This window comes from Homo sapiens, chromosome 5, assembly GCF_000001405.40.
Source record: "Homo sapiens chromosome 5, GRCh38.p14 Primary Assembly".
NCBI lineage: Eukaryota > Metazoa > Chordata > Mammalia > Primates > Hominidae > Homo > Homo sapiens.
Window position 1 is genome coordinate 157,085,731 of NC_000005.10, and position 24,363 is coordinate 157,110,093.

The window sequence follows — 24,363 nt, forward strand, 5'->3', positions numbered from 1 at the left end:
TTTTCGCAACCTACTCATCTGACAAAGGGCTAATATCCAGAATCTACAATGAACTCAGACAGAGCGAGATTCTATCTCAAAAAACAAACAAACAAACAAAAAACAGTAAAAAAAAATTTTTAGTAAGTTCCAATTGTGTGTCAGAATTGTGCTAGGCGCAGGGGGCAACAATAAGCAAGACAGATCAAGCCTATACCGTCTTGAAATTTAAGTTTAGGGACCACTCTCTGTCAAAGGATCCAGCGCTGGTAATATAGATTGCTGAAGGCCTTTGCCTTCTTTCCACCAGGCAACAGAATTTGTGTCCCCGTCACTGCTTCTTCTTCTGTGAAAAATATAGCTTCAGTTTGGTCCACGAATACAGAAGTTGGTCAGAGATATTTTCTTTCAAGCACACAACAAGCAAAACTTGGCCAATACACACCAATCAAATGCACTTCGTTTTTCCCTGGGAGCTCCTGCCACATCTCAGCCCTGCAGGGCAGTCTTCATAAGGGAGACAAAAGAAGGGCTATGCACTGGCACTGACAGTTGGGCAGGCAGTGCTCAAATAAGCCTAAATCTCAACATTCCAAGGGAATCTTCAAGATCAAGGTAGACCTGGTCCAGTCATCTCTTAATCTTTTAAGGATCACTGGCTGGATGTGGTGGCTCACGCCTGTAATCCCAGTGCTTTGGGAGGCCGAGGCAGGCAAATCATGAGGTCAGGAGTTTGAGACCACACTGGCCAACATGGTGAAACCCTGTCTCTACTAAAAATACAACAAATTAGCTGGGCATGGTGGTGCATGCCTGTAATCCCAGCCACTCAGGAGGCTGAGGCAGGAGAATCGCTTGAACCCAGGAGGCGGAGCTTGCAGTGAGCCGAGATTGTGCCATTGCACTCCAGCCTGGGCAACAGAGCAAGACTCCATCTCAAAAACAAAAAACAAAAAGGGATCACAGATCTCTTTGAAAATCAGTGGCCCCTTTAGACTTTCTGTGCCAAAAAAGTTATGCTTTCACCTCAGCACCCAGTTTTCCCTAGTTTATCTGAAGTTTCATGGACATATGATGTGCCCGAATTTCCTGGAGCTCCAGAGACCCCACGTCAAGAATTCCTAGTGTATATAAAAGCCCGTTTGAGCTCTAACATCCATGATTAACAGTCTCTGGGTTGGGTAACTCTGTTGGCTTAAATACAGAGGCAATGACATGCCTGTTTAAGTTCAGTGCAGGTCCCAGTTCAATTCCCATGTGAGTCATTATCTTCTGAAAATGGGAAAACTCTGCTCCATAGCAGTGGACAGAACCTCCAAAACCAGTCAGGTGACACAGCTCATAGTTTCTGAAAAAGACAAAACACCAAGCTCAAAAATAAGGTGGTTGGATCTATGGCATTGCAAAGCGACAACCCAAAGGTTGTGAGGGTTGCTGCCTGCTGCTGACATAGCAATAATACTCATTGGGCTCCTCCACTTCATATACGTTCTCTTCAATGGTATAGATGTTTTCTTCTGAGCGAATTCCCTCTGCTACTGCATTTGCCAATCCTGAGGGAGGGAGGTTGGCCAAAGAGATGAGGCTGTGGAAATAAAGTGTTGCGGTTGAGTTAAGCATTTCCCAGGTAACACGGAATAGAGTTAAGAGAATAGGCTTTCCCAAAGAGACAGCAACTAAATATAGTGCATGATCTTTGATCAGATGCTGAACAAGTGGAAAAGCCAAGAAATAGCAATAAAATACTATGGGGAAACAATTGAGAAAATGTCCATTAATTTTAATTTTCTTAGGTATAACAACAGCATTGTGATAGCTAAGAGAATATTTTTATTTCTCGGAGGTGCAGGCTGAAGTTTAGGTGAAGTATCAAGATGTCTGCAATTATGTACACATTTAGATTTTCAAAAAATGGGCCGGGCGCCGTGGCTCACGCCTGTAATCCCAGCACTTTGGGAGGCTGAGCCTGGCAGATCACGAGGTCAGGAGTTCGAGACCAGCCTGGCCAACATAGTGAAACCCCGTCTCTACTAAACATACAAAAAATTAGCCAGCGTGGTGGCATGCACCTGTAATCCCAGCTACTTGGGAGGCTAATGCAGAGAATCGCTTGAACCCGAGAAGCAGAGGTTATAGTGAGCCGAGGTTGTGCCACTGCACTCCAGCCTGGGTGACAGAGCCAGACTCCGTCTCAAAAAAAAAAAAAAAAAATTATTAATGCTTTAGATAGCATTCAATGGACAGAGGTTTTTGTTTTGTTTTGTTTGATGCTGGGTCTTTCTCTGTCACCCAGGTGGGAATGCAGTGGCACAATCATGGCTCATTGCAGCCTTCATCTCCTGTGCTCCAGCAATCCTTCCACCTAATGTTTCCATTTTTTTGTAGAGAAGAGGTCTCATCATGTTGCCCAGGCTGGTCTTGAACTCCTGGGCTCATGTGATCCTCCCACCTCAGCCTCCCAAAGTGCTGGGCTTATAGGCGTAAGCCACAGCACCTAGCCCAGAATCATTTTTGTAATCCAAATATATTGTATTCCATTCATGTGCCAAACATCACTAAAAGTCTAAAATCTAGTAAGTTATGTAAGCCATACCTATTTGAAATGGATGTGTGGGTGTGTATAATCAGGAACGAAGGTCAAGACAGGAGTCTATAACAGACTAGCAGTTCTCAGCCCTGACTGTTCACTAGAATCACCTGGAGAGCTTTTAGAACAATTTCTATGCTTAGGCTTCATCCCCAGAGATTCTGATTCAGTTGCTCTGGGGTTGGCCCTGCATTAGTACACTTCAGTGCCTGGGTGATTCTAATAGGAAACTAAAGTTGAAAATGCCTGGGCTGTTTACAGAAATGCTGAGAACAGATACTGGGTTTCTTGCTCACTTCTGTAACGCCTAAGTGCAGCCCAGACCCTGGATATAATAGGAGCTCAATCCGTTGATGTTTCAGTTCAGTGGAAAAACCATTAATATCGAGATGAATAAGCATGTTGTATTATTAGGGTGATAAATTCTATACCTTAACTTTAGAACTAAAGAAGCTAGAGGTGTCAGGAAGTACACACAGTAGCATGTTACATTTTCACTTCATAACTAGACCTAGAGAAAGAAGGAAGTATAAACTCAGATCTCAAAGCCCCAGGACAGGATTTCTCAGAGAAAAGATCAGACATGTTAGAGTAGGGACTTCCAAGATTCTCACCTTTTCCCAACCCCATTCCATTATTCTTACCTTAAATTCTGTATCTTCTCTTTGCTATGAGAATACCCTAGTAAGGGGGAAACAAAAGCCAATAAAAATGCATTCATAAAATAAATGAGACAAGAAATCAAATAGGTTCACTGGAAGCACGCATAGTTTAGGGAAATCTGGTCTCATCTCAGATTGAGTTAAATGAAACTCTCAACGTGTGCCTTAGATAGTTATATGGACTGTGTTAGAAAATAATAATAAAGATGCATTTTTCTTATTTAACAAATATTATGAGACCTCTACTATGTGTCTGGCAGTTTGCCTGGCACAAGGAACACAGGAACATAAAAGTGAATTGTGAGCCCTAATTTCACGAAGCTCACGCTCTCCTGTGGGAGACCAAAGAAATAAAAGAAAACAGTACCCCAGACCCAAGACCAGCCTGACCAACATGGAGAAACCCCGTCTCTACTAAAAATACAAAATTAGCTGGATGTGGTGGCCCATGCCTGTAATCCCAGCTACTCGGGAGGCTGAGGCAGGAGAATCACATGAACCCGGGAGACGGAGGTTGCGGTGAGCCAAGATTGCGCCATTGCACTCCAGCCTGGGCAACGAGAGCGAAACTCCGTCTCAAAAAAAAAAAAACAACAACAAAAAGGAAATAGTAAATAGGAAAACAAAATAATTTCAAATTATGATGTATTATAAAGGAAACCAACATCATAGTGAAACAGATAATAGAGAGGGTGGTCAGGGAAGGACCCTCAGAGATGAACTTTAAGCTCGTTTCTGAAATGAGTCAGCCAAGTAAAGAGCCAGAAGGAGCATTCCAGGATGAGGGAGCCCCTTGTAAAGATCTTGCTGAGTACCTGAAACTGAAAACGTGGCTGGATTAAGGGAGCGGCCCAAGATAAGGTCTGAAAGGTAGGCTGGGGCTAGGTCCAATAAGACCTTTCCAGCCATAATCAGGAGTCTGGATTTTATTCTAAGACCTGTAGGAAACCTTAGATTTCCTTGAAGGGCAGAGATGTGATCCTTATTTGTTTTGGGTTTCTTTTACCCGCTGAAAACAACTACGTTATCTCATCATTTCTGTGTTGTGGGTCAGGAATCCAGGTGTGGCTTACTGGGTACCTCTGGATCAAGGTCTTTCAAGGTGTCTTCTGGGGATGCAGTTTCAAAAATTTGAAACTTAAAATTTTCCTTTCTTTTCTTTTCTTTTTTTTTTTTTTTTTTTTTTTTTGAGACAGGGTCTTGCTCTGTTGGCCAGGCTGGAATGCAGTAGTAAGATCATATCTGATTGCAACTTTGAACTCCTGGGCTCAAGGGATCTACCCATCTCAGCTTCTGAGTAGCTAGAACTATAGGTGCACACTACCACAGCTGGATAATTTTTTTTAATGTTTTTGGGCTGGATGCAGTGGCTCACGCCTGTAATCCTAGCACTTTGGGAGGCAAGGCAGGTGGATTTCTTGAGCTTGGGAGTTCGAGACCAGCCTGGGCAACATGGTAAAACCTCATCTCTACTAAAAATACAAAAACTAGCCAGGTATGCTGGCACATGCCCGTGGTCCTAGCTACTTGGAGGCTGAGGCAGGAGAGTTGCTTGAACTCGGGAGGTAGAGGTTGCAGTGAGCCATGATCACACCACTGCACTCCAGCCTGGGTGAATCTCAATATGTTGCCCAGGCTAGTCTCAAACTCCTGGCCTCAAGTGACTCTCCTGTCTTGGCCTCCCGAAGTGTTAGGATTATAGGCATGAGCCATTGTGCTCAGACATTGATTTGGGTTTTAATATTGGATTCGAAGGAGGAATAAAGAAATGAGAAGATAAATTAAGTAGAAATAATGGTGTCTTGGAGTAAGGAATGGCCAAAAGAGATGCAGAATAATGAAAACACTTTAGATGTATGTTGGAGGAAGACTGCAGGAATCTTCTGTTGTTGTTTTTCTCTGAGACAGGGTCTCCCTGTGCTGTGTCACCCAGGCTAGAATGCAGCAGCAAGATCATAGTTCATAGCCTCAAACTCCTGGGCTCAAGTGATCTTCCTGCTTCATTCTCCTGAGTAGCTGGGACGATAGGCGTGCACCACCATACCCAGCCCTAAGGAATCTCAACATCTAAGGATCAGGCAGAAGAAGATCTGAAAAGCAATGGATCAAAGAGAAGAATGTCATTTCAGAAGCCAAGAGAAGGAGGACTTTCTAGAATGAGTGATCAATTTAAAAGGTTGACTATAATAAAGATAAAGGTATCAGGCTGGGAACGGTGGCTCACGCCTATAATCCCAGCACTTTGGGAGGCCAAGGCGGGCAGATCATCTGAGGTCAAGAGTTTGAGACCAGCCTGGCCAACATGGTGAAACCCCCGTCTCTACTAAAAATACAAAATTAGCCAGGCATGGCGGCACATGCATGAAATCCCAGCTACTCAGGAGGCTGAGGGGGGAGAATCACTTGAACCCGGGGAGGCAGAGGTTGCAGTGAGCCAAGATTGCACCATTGCACTCCAGCCTAAGCAACAAGAGTGAAACTCTGTCTCAAAAAAAAAAAAAAAGATAAAGGTATCTGTTAATATTTAATTTAGAAAACTGAAGGTCAGTGGTGAGCTTGACCATTTCCGTTGTGCTTTGGAGCAGAAACTAGATGATGGTGGGTCAAGGAGTGTAGATGGGTGAAAAGTAGAGACAACTCCTTTGAAAAATATGGCTGTGAGAACGAGTTGAGAAATGGGACTAGCTGGAGAGGAATGCATGGACTAGAACATATATTCTGCTAATGAAAATAGCATAAACAGAAAAGGAGAGAGATGACTCAGAAGAAAGGGATAAAAAGAAGGATGAAGTCTTGGCCTAGGCAATGGAGATTAAAAAGCCCTTTCATATTTCATCAGTTAGGAGAGGGGCAAAGAAGTTTTGAGCAGCAGTGAGGTATGGATGGTCATCTCAGAGAGTACACTAGAAAGATGGAAGATTGTGGGGCATTATTGAGTGTCAGTTTGTTTTTGTGAGGTCATGACTTAAAAAGCTGTCACCTTGATTTTAATATTTTCTCCAGCAACTTCCAGGGAAAAGATTGGAAATGAAACAGGCCTTTCTTATCTGTACTTCTCAGTAGCCATGTTTTTTTGGAGTGGCATATATGTGTGTGTACAAAGCATCAGATTTCCTCTAGATCCCATCACTCTTTATACAAACTAGAATAAGTGCTAATATGTATAAATTATGGTCATATTATATATATATATATATATATATATACACACACACATATATATATAAAGTGGTCTCTAATATATATAATAGTAAAGCTCAAAGTTTTACTTTGAGCCATGGCAGAAGTCAAAAAAGTAGTGAGTGTTATCAGTGCTCCTTAACAATCCCTAGTCTGTTTTGGAAATACTCAAGTGAGGCTAAGTGCAATGACTCATGCCTATAATCCCAACATTTTGGGAGGCTGAGGTGGGAGGATTATTTAAGCCCAGGAGTTTGAGACCAGCTTGAGCAACATAGCAAGATCTCATTTCTATTTTTATTTTATTTTATTTTATTTATTTTTTGAGATGGAGTTTCACTCTTGTTGCCCAGGCTGGAGTGCAATGGCACGATCTCAGCTCACTGCAACCTCCGCCTCCTGGGCTCAAGTGATTCTCCCACCTCAGCTTCCCGAGTAGCTGGAATTATAGGCATGTGCCCCCATGCCCGGCTAATTTTGTATTTTTAGTAGAGATGAGGTTTCTCCACGTTGGTCAGGCTGGTCTCAAACTCCCAGCCTCAGGTTATCCACTCACCTCGGCCTCCCAAAGTGCTAGGATTACAGGCGTAAGCCACCGTGCTCAGCCTCTATTTTTAAATATGTATATATTCATCACGCCTGTAATCCCAGCACTTTGGGAGGCTGAAGTAGGAGGATCACCTGAGCTCAGGAGATTGAGACCAATTTTCTGGGCAACATGGCAAAACCCTGTCTCTACCAAAAAAAAAAAAAAAAAAAAAAAAAAAAAAAAAAAAAAAACTAGCCAGGTGTGGTGGCATATGCCTGTAATCTCAGCTACTTGGGAGGCTGAGGCACAAGAATTGCTTGAACCCAGGAGGCAGAGGTTGAAGTGAGCCAAGATCACACCACTGTAGTCCAGCTCCCAGGTGACAGAGTAAGACTCTGTCCCAATAATAATAAATATATATATATATGTGTATACATATATATACATATATATATATTCATGTGATCAATTCAAAAATTCCATGGCTATCTCTGAATAAACCCAGGTAAGTGTGGGTGGGGTAGTTTCTTTTTCTGAATAATCCATTTAACCATAATCGCAGAAACCATAAAGATGAGGAGCAGGACAGTCCTGGTTTCAAATCCAGTATCTATCAATTAACTGTGTAAATGCAGGCAAGTGACCTAACCTTTTAGCATGCTGATTCTCCATTAGAAACATATTAGTACCTATCTCATAGGGTAGTTACGAGAATTTAATGCACGTAAAGCACTTGGCAGCTTCAGTCCACAGTTAGTGGGGGGACCAACTCATGTTTTTCTTGGACTGTTCCAGTTTTAGCCCTAGAAGTCCCATATATCTTAGGAACACCCTTTAGTCTTGAGCTAATCTGAGGTGATTGCTCACTCTACACACACAGTCCCTGTTTGTGTATTAGTAAGAAAGGCTGCTATGTCATATTACGCTCTGGGGCATAAGGACTTGGTTTCTGCCCTAAAAGAAAATAAAATAGACACAATTATAAAAGTGTGTGAGTGGCCAGGCACAGTGGCTCACGCCTGTAATCCCAAAACATTGGGAGGTCGAGGTGGACGGATCACAAGGTCAGGAGATCAAGAACATCTTGCCCAACATGGTGAAACCCTGTCTCTACTAAAAATATAAAAATTAGCCAGGCGTGGTGGTACATGCCTGTAGTCCCAGCTACTCTGGAAGCTGAGTCAGGAGAAACACTTGAACCCGGGAGGCAGAGGTTACAGTGAGCTGAGATCGTGCCACTGCACTCCAGCGTCCATCTCCAAAAAAACAAAAGTGTGCGAGGTTTTGGGGGTACTGGAAGTATTTAGATCTTGATTGTGATGATGGCTTCCTACTGTAATTCTCCATCAAAATTCATCAACTTCAACACACTTCTTTTTTTTTTTTTTTTTGGAGACTGTCTTATTCTGTTGCCCAGGGTGGAGTGCAATGATGCAATCACCGCTCACTGCAGCCTCCTGAGCTCAAGTGATCCTCCCACCTCAGCCTCCTGAGTAGATGGGACTACAGGTGTGTGCCACCATGCCCAGCTCATTATTATTATTATTACGTTGTAGAGGCAGGATCCTGCTTTGCTGCCCAGGCTGATCTTGGTCTCAAACTCCTGGGCTCAACTGATCCTCTCACCTCAGCTTCCGAAAGTGTTGAAAATACAGGCATGAGCCACTGCACCTGGCCATTGTATTTATTTATTTATTTATTTGCTTATTTATTTATATTTTATTACTTTTTTTTTTAAGACAGTCTCACTCTGTCACCCAGGCTGGAGTGCAGTGGCATGATCTGAGCTCACTGTAACCTCCACCTACCAGGTTTGAGTGATTCCTCTGCCTCAGCCTCCTGAGTAGCTGGGATTACAGGCATGCGCCACCACACCCGGCTAATTTTGTATTTTTAGTAGAGATGGGGTCTCACCATGTTGGCCAAGCTGGTCTCGAACTCCTGACCTCAAATGATCCACCCCCCTCAGCCTCCCAAAGTGCTGGGATTACAGGCGTGAGCCACTGCGCCGGGCCTGTTTTTTTGTTTTTGTTTGTTTGCTAGTTTAAAAAAAAAAAAGGGATAAGTAACTTAGAAAAAGCTATGTGCTAAGTACCATGATGGAGGAAAACATTCTCTAACCCCAGTCACGACCCAGTGTTAAAGGGACTTGCAGTCTACTGCCAGAGAGGTATGCCTGAGAAACCAATAACAGAAAAGTGCACAGAAGGAAGTGTTTTTTGTTGTTGTGTTTCGTAACAAACCTAGACATATTCATGAATTAAAGAAATTAGTTTACTGGAATCAGCCTGCCTGGATTTGATTTCCGGTTCTGCCAGGTACTGATGTTGAAACCTCGGGAAGGCAGCTTACTCTAAGCTTGACTTCCCTTCACTGTAAAATGGGGATGGTACTATTCCTTATCTCATAAGACAGTAATGATGATAAAATGTATGTAAAACATTTAACGCAGTGGCTGCCTGACACACAATAAATATTAAATAAAAATTAGCCATTATTGTTAGGATTTGGATGGACAAAAGGGTATTTAGTCTAATCATCTTTGGGTATAAACATGAATTTGCATTTCTATCTAGGTTTTTACTGGTTCTCACTGAAGAATTTGTTATCAGAGGGAGAGAGAAACAAAAACACTTACATTTGAAAATTAAAGCGCCGAAGATAAGAGCCAGAGCCAGCCCAGCACAGATCCCTGCTCCGATGTAGATGCCTATTCTGATGGTTGCTCCAGAGTCCCGTAAGTCATTGGCCAATCTAGAGTCCCGTAACTCATTGGCCAATGTGGATATTTGCTATGGAAACACAAACAGGATTTAAGCAGAAAACAGCTAGAAATCGCTTGTGTAATCAGCTTCAAGATTTGTGAATTGGACCATCCCTTTTACAACATCACAGGATGGCTGAGTCCTTCAAATCACCTTTGATCTGTCACCTTGTAGCCAACACTCAAGCCAACCCAAGAAAGGGTCTCCCTTAACCTTTGGAGTTAGCAAGGAAACAAAATGTGCCCTTCTGTGTTGTGGGTAGAGAAGGAGCTCTTAAAAAAAAAAAAAAAAAAAGAGAGAAGGAGCTCTTAAGACCCTTTCCCTGCCCCTGCAAAAATTGGCTTTAGAGTGGAGTCTTGTTGGTTCAAGATCCCCTAAGATTCCCCAGAGAGTTTTAGAGTAGTTTACATTTAGTGTCTTGCTATGAAACGTCTATTTTTCACAAAAAGACAGTGATTCAATAGCCAAGACTTTACAGCCAGACGGTCGTGGATTCAAATCCCAGCTCTGAGGCCGGGCGCGGTGGCTAATGCCTGTAATCCCAGCACTTTGGGAGGCCTAGGCAGGCGGATCACCTGACATCAGGAGTTTGAGACCAGCCTGGACAACATGGTGAAACCCCGTCTCTACTAAAAATACAAAACTTAGCCAGGCGTGGTAACACATGCCTGTAATCCTAGCTAGTGGGGAGGCTGAGGCAGGAGAATCACTTAAACCCAGGAGGCAAAGACTGGAGTACTCGAGTTGAGATCATGCCACTGCACGCCAACCTGGGCAACAGAGCGAGACTCCATCTCAAAAAAAAAAAAAAAAAAAAAATTCCCAGCTCTGCCACTAAGGGCTGAGTAATCCTGTAGAGTTATCAGGAAAACTAAGTGAGAGAAAATATAAAATGCTTAGTACAGGGCCTGGTACATAATAAATGTTCAATCAATCGTAGCTATTATTGCTATTGCTCTAGTTAACTTGATTTTCTGATAACTGAGAGCCACACAAAATAAATCCTGTTTCTAAAATTTCAGTCTATGGGTTCTCTCTTTTTCTCTCTTTAAAAACAATGATTAGGCCAGGTGCGGTGGCTCACGCCTGTAGTCCCAGCACTTTGGGAGGCCAAGGCAGGCAGATCACGAGGTCAGGAGTTCAAGACCAGCCTGGCCAACATGGTGAAACCCCATCTCTACTAAAAATACAAAAATTAGCCAGGTGTGGTGGCGGGCACCTATAGTCCCAGCTATTTGGGAGGCTGAGGCAGGACAATCGCTTGAACCCAGGAGGCAGAGGTTGCAGTGAGCCAAGGTTGTGCCATTGTACTCCAGCCTGGGCGACAAGAGCAAAACTCCATCTCAAAAATAAATAATAAATTAATAAATAAATAATAATTATAGGCCAGGCTCACACCTATAATCCCAGCACTTTGGGAAGCTGAGATGGGAGGATCACTTGAGACCAGGAGTTAGGGACCAGCCTAATAATATTGAGACCCCATTTATACAAAACACACACACACACACACACACACACACACACACACATATAATTATAAGCATTTTTAAAACAATGAATTTAAGGAAGTTAAATCTTCCATTTATTCAATATACATTTACAAATTGATTCAATACACATTACTCCTGCAATAACAGGAGTCCTATATGCAAGATATTGTGCATTAAGCATTGTGGGCACATACAGGTCCTTAAAAAGCACTGTTTGATTGCAAAGAGAGAAGGAGCAAATACAAGATGCTGAGCATCAGTTGTGAATACACAAGCAAGAAACTGAGTCAAATAAATGTGGGCTCCTGGATATGCCCTCAAGTAATTTTTTTTTTTTTTTTTTTTTTGAGACAAGGCCTTGCCCTGTCACCTAGGATGGAGTGCAGGGGCATGATCACAGCTCAATGCAGCCTCAACCTACTGGGCTCAAGTGATCCTCCTGCCTCAGCCTCCCAAGTAGCTGGAACTACAGGTTTGCAGCACCATGCCTGGCCAAATTTTAAAAAATATTTTTTGTAGAGACAGGGTGTCACTATGTGGCCCAGGCTAGTCTCAAACTCCTGGTCTCAAGCATTCCTTCCACCTTGGCCTCCTAAAGTGCTGGGATTACAGGCATGAGACACTGTGCCCGGCCTCCTCAAAGAATTTTTAAGTCATTGCTGCAAGCTTGCCTTCTAGTGGTTTTTCTTTTATGAGGGAATTTCGCTCTTGTTGCCCAGGCTGGTGTGCAGTGGCGCGACCTCAGCTCACTGCAACCTCCACCTCCTGGATTCAAGCGATTCTCCTGTCTCAGCCTCCTGAGTAGCTGAGACTACACAGGCACACACCACCATACCTGGCTAATTTTTTGTATTTTTAGTAGAGATGGGGTTTCACCATGTTGACCAGGCTGGTCTCAAACCCCTGACAGGTGATCCACCCTACTTAGCCTCCCAAAGTGCTGGGATTACAGACGTGAGTCACTGCGCCCAGCCAGTTTTTCTTTTATTCTGAGAAGGTAGCAGGGACAGTAAAATTGAGGTTTATTAAGGTATGGCTTTATTTATAGTTAAATACATAAAACTGGCTGGGCACCATGGCTCATGCCTGTAATCCCAGCACTTTGGGAGGCCAAGTTGGGCGGATCACCTGAGGTCAGGAGTTCAAGACCAGCCTGACCAACATGGAGAAACCCTGTCTCTACTAAAAATACAAAATTAGGCCAGGTGCCATGGCTCACGCCTGCAATCTCAGCACTTTGGGAGGCCGAGGCAGGTGGATCACCTGAGGTCAGGAGTTCAAGATCAGCCTGGCCAATGTGGTGAAACTCCGTCTCTACTAAAAATAAAAAAATTAGCCGGGTGTGGTGGCTCATGCCTGTAATCCCAGCTACTCGGAAGGCTGAGGCAGGAGAATCGCTTGAACCCGGGAGGCGGAGGTTGAGGTGAGCCAGGATCACACCCTTGCACTCCAGCCTGGGCAACAAGAGCGAAATTCTGTCTAAAAAAAAAAAAAAAAAACCTCTTCACTTTGAATATTCCTGACTGGTGTCTTGCCATATTTAAAGAGATAAATTTAAATACTCTTTCCCATTAGGATTGCAATGGAAGCAAGAAGAATGGTATTCTAGGGAGATGAAGAATCTTTGAACCTTCCACAGGGTAGACAGTTGTGAAATTGAAGAATAAGAGGGACAAAATGCTAATGTTTCTTCTTTGTGGTTTTCAAGCTCTTACTATATGCCAGGCACTTTACACACATCATGTCAGTCCTTCATTACAGCAGGCCTATGAGGTTAGAACTGTCATCATCAACATGTTACAGCCCAGGAATCTGAAGCTAAGGGAACTTAAGGCTTTTTACCCCAAGGACAAGGTGGGCATGAAGGAAGTCTAAAGCCATGATTTCCCCTCCAAGTTGAGTACAACATAGCTCACAAAAAAAGTTACTTACTGTTAGATTTATATCAGGGAGGCTCCCCAGTGTCTGTGTCTCTGCTATAAAAAGAGAGAGAGAGAGAGAGAGAGGAAAAATAGCCAATAGTATAGTTAAGAACGTTTTCTTTTATCTAAGTTTTTAAAAAATCTTAATGATGCCTATAATCCTATTTGAAATGAATTCTACTCCGTACTTGTCACAATAATTAATGGAGAGACAGACAAAATTTACTGAACACCCAGGAATCAACTTTAGGATGGCCACATTTTTTCATCTAGATAATGAACCGTACTGTTTTATGAAATAGAGACTTCTGCCAGGAAGTCCTACATTAAATATGTGCTTTGTTTTTTTCACAGGACCCTAATGAGTTCTACAAACATCTAGCAATATTGATAAGACTCAGGCATTATTTATTTATTTATTTATTTAGACACAGAATTTCACTCTGTCACCCAGGCTGGAGTGCAGTGGCATAATCTCAGCTCACCGCAACCTCGGCCTCCCTGGTTCAAGCAATTCTCATCCCTCATCCTCCCAAGTAGCTGGGACTACATGCATGCACCACCACGCCCAGCTAATTTTTGTATTTTTAGTAGAGACGAGGCCATGTTGACCAGGCTGGTTGTGAACTCCTGACCTCAGGTGATCTGCCCACCTCAGCCTCCCAAAATGCTGGGATTACAGGTGTGAACGACCAGGCTTGGCCTCAGGCATTATATTCTAATTAGATTTTAAAAGACAACAAAAATTCATTTCCTTCTTTTTTGTTTTTTTGAGACAGTCTCACTCTGTTGCCCAGGCTGGAGTGCAGTGGCACAATCTCAACTCACTGCAACCTCCATGTTCTTTTTCTTTTTTTTCTTTTTGCGAGACAGAATCTCACTCTATCACCCAGGCTGGAGTGCAGTAGCATGATCTCTGCTCACTGCAACCTCCATCTCCTGAGTTCAAGCGATTCTCCTGCCTCAGCCTCCCTGGTAGCTGGGACTACAGGGGCACACCACCACACACAGCTAATTTTTGTATTTTTAGTAGAGACGGGGTTTCGCCATGTTGGCCAGGCTAGTCTCGAACTCCTGACCTCAAGTGATCCACCCGCCTCGGCCTCCCAAAGTGCTGGGATTACAGGCGTGAGCCACCGTGCCGTGCCCAGCCTCCATTTTCTTAAATAAGTTTTGCATTTACTCATGAGAAGGGAGACAGGGTTGCCAACAAATGAAAATAATCACTGTGGTCACAATGTAATAGGAGCCAGGCCTTGTGCTAAATAAACTCTTTCAGTGAAGAAGCTCATTTTAGAGATACTTAGAAGCACTTACTTTAGAACTACGCTTCTAAAGTAGAGACTGTTAGTCCCATTGCACAGATGAAGAAACTGAAAATTAGGGAAGTGAAGTGACTAACCCAAGGTCACATGACTTAGCAAATGACAAAATGGCCTTCCAATTTAGGTCTGCATAGCCTTAAATGCACATTCTTAATTATACTGCCTTCACCAGCCCTTACCTCAGTGCTGTCATTATGAAGAGGGTCACGTTGCCCAGCCACCCACTCACCATCTTTCCTTCCTGTTCATTTGTTTATTTCTTCATCTGCTGATCCATTCCATGAATATGCACTATGCCCTTACTCTAGGCACAGGGGACAGAGCAGGAAACAAGAGGGGCACAGGCCCTGACCTCATGAACACTGAATTCTAAAAATAAGTACATTGCCAGCTTTTGGAAAACTAAGCATGCTTACTCATTTTTATGGCTGAGTCAGAGATGTTGAAACTTCTTAAATGTCACTGTCACCTTCTGGAAGCCTTAATGTGTATAAAGGGTTTGACTAAATGCTGGTTTAGCAAACTATAGTTTAAATATTATAAAGGCATAGCCTCAGCCTAAAATTATTGAAGAAAAAAAGATTATGTTCCAATTACTTTTGCCCTAATTACCAGAAAAAAATTTAAAATATAAAAACCACAGGCCTGGTGCAGTGGCTCACACCTGTAATCCCAGCACTTTGGGAGGCCGAGGGCAGGCAGATCACGAGGTCAGGAGATCGAGACCATCCTGGCCAATATGGTGAAACCCCATCTCTACTAAAATACAAAAAATTAGCCGGGCGTGGTGGTGTACGCCTGTAGTCCCAGCTACTCAGGAGGCTGAGGCAGTGGAATCGCTTGAACCCAGGAGGTGGAGGTTGCAGTGAGCCGAGATCACACCATTGCACTCCAGCCTGGTGACAGAGCAAGACTCCATATCAAAAAAATAAAAAAAAGACCCTCATCAGTACAACTGCTAAGTAAACATGAATCTTAAGTGCACATAAGATTTTAAATGTAAATCCAGTTTCAGACTCCTTATAATTATTTTTCTTGATAAAAATGGTAAAACTAACTTTTTAAAAACTTCATTTTGCTATGAAAATGATCAGTAAAATCAAGCACTGTTGTGTCATTACAGCTTTTTTTCACACAGATTTGGCCACCAACCAAGATGGATGGGACAGTTGAAGGGAGTGGCAATGTTCTTTCTGGAGAAACCAAGATTTGCCTGGTGGGGCAGGTAGCAGCGGAGGTGAGATGTGATGGCCTTAACAGTGTATAAATTTAGTAGTTACCATCTATTTGGTACTTATTAGGTGCCAGACATGGTGCTTAGCACCATATACATACAATCTCATTTAATCCTCAACCACAATAAGTAGGTACTACTATTTTCCCCATTTTTCAGATGAAGATACTGAGTCTGAGAGAGCCACTTTGCCCAAGATCACACAGCTATTAATTGGGAAAGCTAGGATTTAAAGCAGATCTACTCTAGAGCTGAGGACTCACCTGTGACCCAGTCCTTACTCCTTCAGGTAGAAGACAAGTTGCATTTGTTCTGTGTTCAAATTCCAGGCCCTTGGATCTCTTACTTTTAAAGGCTCTACTCCATTTTTTTTTTTTTTTTTTCTGAGAAAGGGTCTCGCTCTGTTGCCCAGGTTTGGAGTACAGTGGCACCAACTCGGCTCAGTGAATCCTCAACCTCCTGAGTTCAAGCAATCTTCCTGCCTCAGCCCTGCCAAGTAGCTGGGACTACAGGCACATGCCACCATGCCCGGCTATTTTTTTTTTTTTTTTTTTTTTTGGGATGGAATCTCGCTCTGTTTTCCAGGCTTCAGGACAGTGGTGAGATCTCGGTTCACTCCTCCCAGGCTCAGACAATTCTCCTGCCTCAGCCTCCTGAGTAGCTGGAATTATAGGCATGCACCACCATGACCAGCTAATTTTTGTATTTTTAGTAGAGACAGGGGTTTCACCATCTTGGCCAGGCTGGCTTAAACTCCTGACCTCAGGTGATCCATCTGCCTTGGCCTCCCAAAGTGCTGGGATTACAGGTGTGAGCCACTGCACTCAGCCTAATTTTTTGTATTCTTAGTAGAGATGGGGTTTTGCCATGTTGCCCAGGCTGGTCTTGAACTCCTGAGCTCCAGTGATCTGCCTGCCTTGGCCTCCCATAGTGCTGGGATTACACATGTGAGCCACTGTGCCCAGCCCCATTTTTATATTAAATGCTCCCACATCCCACATTTAGAGTTGGTTTGCCAGCAGCCAATTTACATAATGTTACATATTATAGACAAACCATTAAATATTCATTCATTTCAATTTTTTATTTTATTTTCCTATTTAGGAGCTACTGACCTATTTTTGGTTGTTTCAATATTTTTTCTCAGTCAGGCCCTTGAGAAGCTCAGAGGTTCGAGGTATTATTCCTATATTCCCATTTTTGTTGCCCTAGAGGGAAGGAACTAACAAACAAAAACTAAAGGGAAGGCTGGGCGTGGTGGCTTACACCTGTAATCCCAGCGCTTTGGGAGGCCGAGGCAGAGGGATCACCTGAGGTTAGGAGTTCGAGACCAGCATGGCCACCATGGTGAAACCCCGTCTCTAATAAAAATACAAAAATTAGCGGGGCGTGGTGGCGCGCGTCTGTAATCCCAGCTACTTGGGAGGCTGAGGCAGGAGAATGGCATGAACCTGGGAGGCAGAGTTTGCAGTGAGCCAAGATCGTGTCATTGCACTCCAGCCTGGGTGAGAGAGTGAGACTCCGTCTCAAAAAAAAAAAAAAAGGAAAGAAAAACTAAAGGAAAGAAGACTTCTGTCTGTGGTAGAGACAAGTATAAGGAAATGCACCACCTCGACAGGGAGTGAACTCCGTCTACAGCAAATGCCCATTCAGTGGTGATGTAGTAAAAAGTACTGGCCGGGCGCGGTGGCTCACGCGTGTAATCCCAGCACTTTGGGAGGCCGAGGCGGGAGGATCACAAGGTCAGGAGATGGAGACCATCCTGGCTAACACGGTGAAACTCTGTCTCTACTAAAAATACAAAAAAGAAAAAAATTAGCTGGGCTTGATGGTGGGCGCCTGTAGTCCCAGCTACTTGGGAGGCTGAGGCAGGAGAATGGCGTGAACCCAGGAGGCGGAACTTGCAGTGAGCCGAGATTGCGCCACTGCACTCTAGTCTGGGTGACAGAGCAAGACTCCGTCTCAATTAAAAAAAAAAAAAAAAGTACTGAAGCACAGGATGGGAAAGTGAGACTAAATGACCCTTGAAGTCCCTTCTAGCACTATGGTTGTAAGATTCTTTAAAATATAACAATGGCATACAATAAGTATCTGGTATAACTTTATTATTTTCTGTCCCCACCATATTTAGTTTCCTCTCTAATTGCATAAAAGATGTTGGCTACCAATCACTAAAGACTAACCAAAGACTGAAACTTTGGAGAGCTAAAACCAGTAACTATAGTAATAATAAACAGTTGAGTGCTTTTTATGGGCCAGGTACTATGCTGAGCATTTTACATACATTATCATGTTTATACATTACAACCACCTCATGACATGGGCACTGGAATTATCCTCATTGTAGAGATGAGCAAACTGAGCTTCAGAGAATTTGAGCAACTTGACTGAGGTCACAGAGCTATCAAGAACAGCTGAAATTAGAACCCATTCCACCTGTCACTGAAGTACTTTAACCACAATCTCACTGTGCCTCCTGATCTTATAATATTAACGACAACAGCTAACATGTACAAATTGTGGTCAGACATTGGGATAAACGTTTTAGACATTTTCTTATTTAAAGCCCATAAGGTGTGATTTATGAGATTTATGACATTATGAGGTGGGACTCACCTATTAACCTCATTTTACAGAAGAAAAAAAAAATGGAGCTCCAGAGAGTTTAGAAGAGACCAGGACACTGACAAGAAATACCTTAAAATTAACCTTCATGATCAATGTGACTTGACTTCTGCTTTATGCCCAGTGTTCTCTTCTGGAGCACCCTGAGTACGTCCTTGCTGAATTACATGAAGAATTTAACTATTCTTTCTGTGGCTGGAATCCAGGGAAGGTGATGGGCTTTATTCTAGCTAGAAGGCATCCTAGAAATCACCTAATCCAATGTGTCAGTTCCCAAACACAGACTGACACCAGTTCATGACCAAACATCACCAGTCCAGGGTCAGTCAGAAAATGTGGACAAAGTAATGAGCATTTCATTCAATTTAGTTAATATTTAAGTAAAATTAAAGACTATAAAGTTTATTAACTTTTTTCCAGTTAAAATTTAAGTAAAATAATCCTAAGCCAGACCATCTTTTTCCCAGCACAGGTGTGTCTCCACCACTTCCCTCTTTTCAAACACTATTTCAGGTGCACGGAGATATCCATGCCTCCACTCTCACACTGTTTTCTCATCTTTTTTTCCCACATTCAAAATCCTCTGAATTCAGAGCCAGCTAAAGATTCCCTCCTCTGCCCCATGCATAGTTACCTGGGCCATGTCCCCTGGTGGTAAGCATCCTTGGAAAGGCTGCAGTGAAGTCTCTCTGCCGAGTCGGTGCAGGGGTGACCTTGGCTAATGTCAGAAACAACATAAGGATGAAAATTATCTGAGAGCAGAAAGCTTATTTCAGGGAATCAAAGGGGCAGCAAGAAAAAAATGCGAAAGACAATTAAGAAAGAGAAATACACCCTCAGCTTCCAAACCTGCCTGGATACCTACGTTGAGAGTGTATCACACACTTCAAATGTTTGACAAAGGTAAGATGCAGTCATCATTGTTACATTCTGATTATTAATAGCGGAACTAACAGCCACACAAATGGCCATAATTACAGGTTGAAGACTCCTTATCTGAAATGCTTGAGATCAGAAATGTTTTAGATTTTGAATTTTTTTTTTTTTTTTGAAACGGAGTTTTGCTCTTGTTGCCCAGGCTGGAGTGCAATGGCATAATCTCGGCTCACTGCAACCTCCGCCTCCTGGGTTCAAGCAATTCTCCTGCCTCAGACTCCTGAGTAGCTGGGACTACAGGCATGTGCAACCACACCTGGCTAATTTTGTATTTTTAGTAGAGACAGGGTTTCTCCATGTTGGTCAGACTGGTCTCGAACTCCCGACCTCAGGTGATCCACCCACCTCAGCCTCCCAAAGTGCTGGGATTATAGGCATGAGCCACCACGCCCAGCCATGTTTTTATTTTTTTATTTTTTAGTATCTGCCTATACTTATGTTCCAATGAGCTTTTCCTTTGAATGTCATGTCAGTGTCCAAAAAGTTTTGGATTTTAGAGCATTTCAGATTTTGGTGCATTTTAGGTTTTAGATTTTCAGATTTGGGATGCCCAACCTATAAAGGCTTTTAATAAAATATTATCACATAAAATCCTTCTAATGGCCCACATGATCGGTATTATTGTCATATTTTATAGAAGAGGAGCTCACAGCGTTTCAATAACTTGCTCAGGATTATATAGCTAGTAAGAGGCAGAGTTAGATGTAAACTCAGCTCTATCTGGGCACAAAGTACATGTTATAGAAATCTTAAGTCTGTTCACCTCCCAGCATACATGCATAACCCAGCAGTTCACCATGCTGGCTGCACCTGGGGTAAAATCACCTGAGGTAGACTCTGTAAAAAGCTAATGCTTAGCATCTACCTCCAGAGATGCTGATTTCTCTGGTTTTTGGTAGTGGGGTTTTTTCTTCTGCTTTTTAAGAGATAGGGGTAGCCACAGTATATCAGCCAGGCTGGTCTCAAACTCCTGACCTCAAGTGATCCTCCTGCTTCAGCCTCTCAAAGTATTGGGATTATAGGCATGAGCCACTGTACCTGGCATCTATAGTTGTTTAAAAACTCTCTATGTGATTCTAATGAGAGTCAGGGTCTCTAACCACTGATCTAGGCCTTTCATCCCATCTATACATTCCACCCATGAGTTTTGGCTTTTCTTTTCTTTTCTTTTTTTTTTTTTGAGACAGAGTTTCACCCTTGTCAGCCAGGCTGGAGTACAATGGCGAGATCTTGGCTTACCACAACCTCCGACTCCCAGGTTCAAGTGATTCTCCTGCTTCAGCCCCCCAAGTAGCTAGAATTACAGGCTCCCGTAACCATGCCTGGCTAATTTTTTGTATTTTTAGTGGAGACAAGGTTTTACTATGTTGGCCAGGCTGGTCTCGAATTCCTGACCTCATGATCCACCGGCCTCAGCCTCCCAAAGTGCTGGGATTAGAGGTGTGAGCCACCACGCCCAGGCACACCCATGAGTTTTAAAACAGAGAGAAGGTGTTAAATATCACTGAGCATCACCAATGGGGCCTGTTAAACTTTAGGTCTTAGTGGCCCTCCTCCAGGGCTATAATTAGGGAAGTCAGAGATGAGAACAATCAGTACCTTTAATATGATCCACAGATAAATCTTATTCATAAAGATGGCATGCAAATGTCCACTCACCTGGTTTGATGACCAACTTCAGGTTAAATTTTTCATCATTCATTATGCCTGGGATTTGGATCCGGCAGCAGTAGATCCCACTGTCTGCTAGAGTCACATTCTCTATGGTCAGGGACACATCTCCTTTGCGGAAATCCCCATTTAGCCAGTATCTGGATGTCCAATAATTCACATCCCTTTCATCAGTCCTGAGCACCACGTTGCCACATTCAAACACAGGACAGGCTCCTTTGCCCCAGCAGACGGGCACGAGGTTCCCTGGGGCGGCTGGGGTGTAGAAGCAGGGCAGATAGGCATTCTGACCGACCTCCGCTCTGTATTCCACTTCTGAGGACCCTGCATAGAGAGAGAAGGAGAGCCAAGACTCAAGCGGTGAGTGAGGTTACTCCATTTCAGGAAAACTGCAAGCCATGTCTTACAGAATAAAGAGGAAGCTACTGCTGCAGTCCTGTTTGGAGGATGATTCGCTGTGACAATGCTTCTCAGATGTGAAGGCCATCAGAATCACTGGGAAGCCTTGCGAAAACACAGATTGCTGGGCTCAACTGCTAGAGTTCCTGACTCAGTTGGCCTGTGGTAGAGCCTGAGAACTTTTATTTCTAACAAGTTCTCAAGTGTTGCTGAAGTGGCTGGTCTCAGAACCTCACTTTCAGAAACACTGCCCTAGGAGAGAATTGTGGCCCAATTCTGTGAACACGGGAGAACAGGGCTGATGGAAACAGACAATCAGAAAATTAGTCATGGTCAGCCAGGAAACGGCCCGCCCATCTGGGCTACTTGCTTGTTCATCAACAAAGGGAGGCTCTCCTAACATACTTCTCTTTTTAAGCAGCAAGTGCACAGTAAATACAAACCCTTGGTTAAATAAGGATCTTGTGTATTTGAAACTACTCATGGAGTTGTTTTAAGGTTTAAAGTTGTGAAAAGAAATTAAATTTTGGGACCCCAAACTCATTCAGTCAAAGGGAAAAGTCAAGCTGGGAACTGGGTCACAGAAACCTGCCTCCTCTTTTTGATTCCTGAATAAGATGGCTACAGGATGAAAGGCTGCATACCTCCCCCATATTTTGCCCACAAGGAAATTCCTGGTCAGCTGTGCAATGCAGATTGATAGCTCATCTTTACCGGTGCGGTCACCCTGGCCAGACACAAATGCGTTATCTGATTGTTTCCCTACCCCATTTTGTCTGTGTTATCTAATGTAAAATGCAGATTCCCCATATTTTTCCTCTGCCCCCCCCCCTTTTTTATGTGAAAACTGAGTGCTTCTCAATATCCCACCTTGTCCCCTTTAAATCTGGAGCCCTCAAAATCATCTTCTGAGAAAGTCATAGACCTGTCTCTCAGGTGCCTCCTTAACTTTGGCAAACAAATCTCCTAAAATGATTGAGACTTGTCTCCTCATTTTCCTCAAATGACAAAGTTAATTCCATTAAAAAAAAACTATATATATTTTATATATGATAAAACATTCATTATATATTTTCTTTTGATTTTTTATGTCCCCTTTGTTTTCATATGACTCAACTACAGTAAAAACATTCAAACACTATCAAAGGTGTATGAAAAAGTGGCCGGGCACACGGTGGGTCACGCCTGTAATCCCAGCACTTTGGGAGGCTGAGATGGGCAGATTACTTGAGGCCATGAGTTTGAGACCAGCCTGACCAACATGGTAAAACCCTGTCTCTACTAAAAATTAAAAACATTAGCTGGGTGTGGTGGTGCACGCCTGTGATCCCAGCTACTCCGGTGCCTAAGGCAGGAGAATCACTTGAACCTGGGAGGCGGAGATTGCAGTGAGCCAAAATGGTGCCACCACTGCACTCCAGCCTGGGCAATAGAGTGAGACTCCATCTCAATTGAAAAAAAGAAAAAGAAAGAAAAGAAAAAGAAAAAAAGGAAAGAAAAGAAAAGAAAAATATGCCTTACTCTCCCAACTCTTTACCATTCCCTGGTTCCTTTTCCTAGAGCTTATACATTAAGAAATGTCCACATATTCCTGCTCCCCGACAATGCACACACACAAATAGAAGCCTAATATATGCATTATTCTGCAACTTTTTTTCTTTAATAACATTATAATTTTGAGACATTCTATACCAGTATGTTTTGTCAGACTCACTGTTTGTATCATGATTATATCACATTTATTTACCCACTCCCTCATCGACGGACATTTAGGTTGCTTCCAAGCTTTTGCTATTACAAACAACATTACAATGGCCATCCTTGTATCTCTCCCTTGTCCTCTGTACAGCACCATTATGTCATTGTAAATATCCATGCCGAGACTTACTTGTAAGTAGTAGCAGCAGCAGCAGCAGGACACAGTCAAAGGGAAGATGTGAAAACATGGAGCTTGCAGAAGAAAAGTCAGAGGACACCTCTGTTAGGCACAGTTTTAACTCTCCAAATGGACTGGGTACTTCTTCCAACTGTCTACTCCACAATCACATGAGCAGTAGCCGCCCCCACTGAGTGCTAGCTCAGCACACCCGGGTGTCTGATTGCCAGTGATTCTTATAGTAACACTGCCAGGTCTACAGTCACATTAAAGGAAACCAAAGTTCTCTGTCATGCCACACTACACACATCCTGTAAGTGTTCTGATGTCTGTCCTGTGATATCAACAAAGAGGAAGCAATACTTCAGTGGAAGAAAACGCTACTCAGTCATGGCACATAAAGAGAACCCTCTAATAATGTCTCAGATGAGATACACCTGAAATGGAGCATGTCCGAGTCCATCTGACTAGCGGGGAACACAAAGTACAGATGCATCATCCATGGATTCATTCACTCAAATCAGTCCCTTCATCAGGCCTGTGACCAAAGTTTATGAAGCCCCTACTTTGCACCAGGCACTGGACTAGGAAGTGGAACACAACAGTGAATGGCATGTTCCTTATCCTCACATTTACAGACCATAGCAACTCCCAGCATAAGCCTCACTCTCATCCTTCTTCTAACACAGATTAGGTTGTATCCTATAACCTTGCTGAGTCTCAGTTTCCTCATTTATATAATTTATAAAATGAGAAAATTGTATTAGATAATACATGCATGGCTCTCTGTTCTAATATTCTGACTTTGACCTTCAAACTTCCAACTCTTCAATTTAGAAAAAACATGTTCCTTTTGGCAACAGTTCCTTTCCTCTACTCTGAGTAGAATTAAGGGGATCTTGGTATCCTGTTTCATCTCATGCATACAAGGTGCCCCCTCTCCCCTACCCCAAGAGGCTTTGGCCATGAATGATCAGAAAGTGTTGAGTTCCAGCCACACTCCCATAACTGAGGTAACAGCTTAGACTCACGTAGCCTCAGCTCTGGGAGTGTGACCTTTATCTGGACACCTTAAAAGCAAAAGCTTTTTTTTATAAAAGGGAAGTGAGCTCACAGGCTGAGTGGTTTCTGAAAAGCCAGTGGCCTTCCTCTATGTCTTGCCTTCCTGAGTTTCTTTGTC

The 24,363-nt window shown here is 43.1% G+C and overlaps 1 protein-coding gene across 1 annotated transcript, besides 1 other annotated feature; it reads right to left on the bottom strand.

Moving 5' to 3' along the window:
- On the bottom strand, positions 102-23,314 carry HAVCR2 (hepatitis A virus cellular receptor 2). The gene is made up of 7 exons (NM_032782.5): positions 23,196-23,314; positions 20,897-21,232; positions 18,936-19,019; positions 13,128-13,171; positions 9,576-9,729; positions 3,211-3,247; positions 102-1,564 (listed from the first exon to the last, which is right to left on the bottom strand). The coding sequence occupies exons 1-7, from the start codon at positions 23,251-23,253 to the stop codon at positions 1,372-1,374; spliced, it is 906 nt and encodes a 301-aa protein (NP_116171.3). The 5' UTR covers positions 23,254-23,314; the 3' UTR covers positions 102-1,371.
- Positions 23,101-23,250: an enhancer, noted in NCBI's record as "active region_23497". NCBI's record gives its function as "activates an Ori minimal core promoter by ATAC-STARR-seq in GM12878 lymphoblastoid cells {active_cell/tissue: GM12878}" and the evidence as "EXISTENCE:reporter gene assay evidence [ECO:0000049][PMID:35858748]".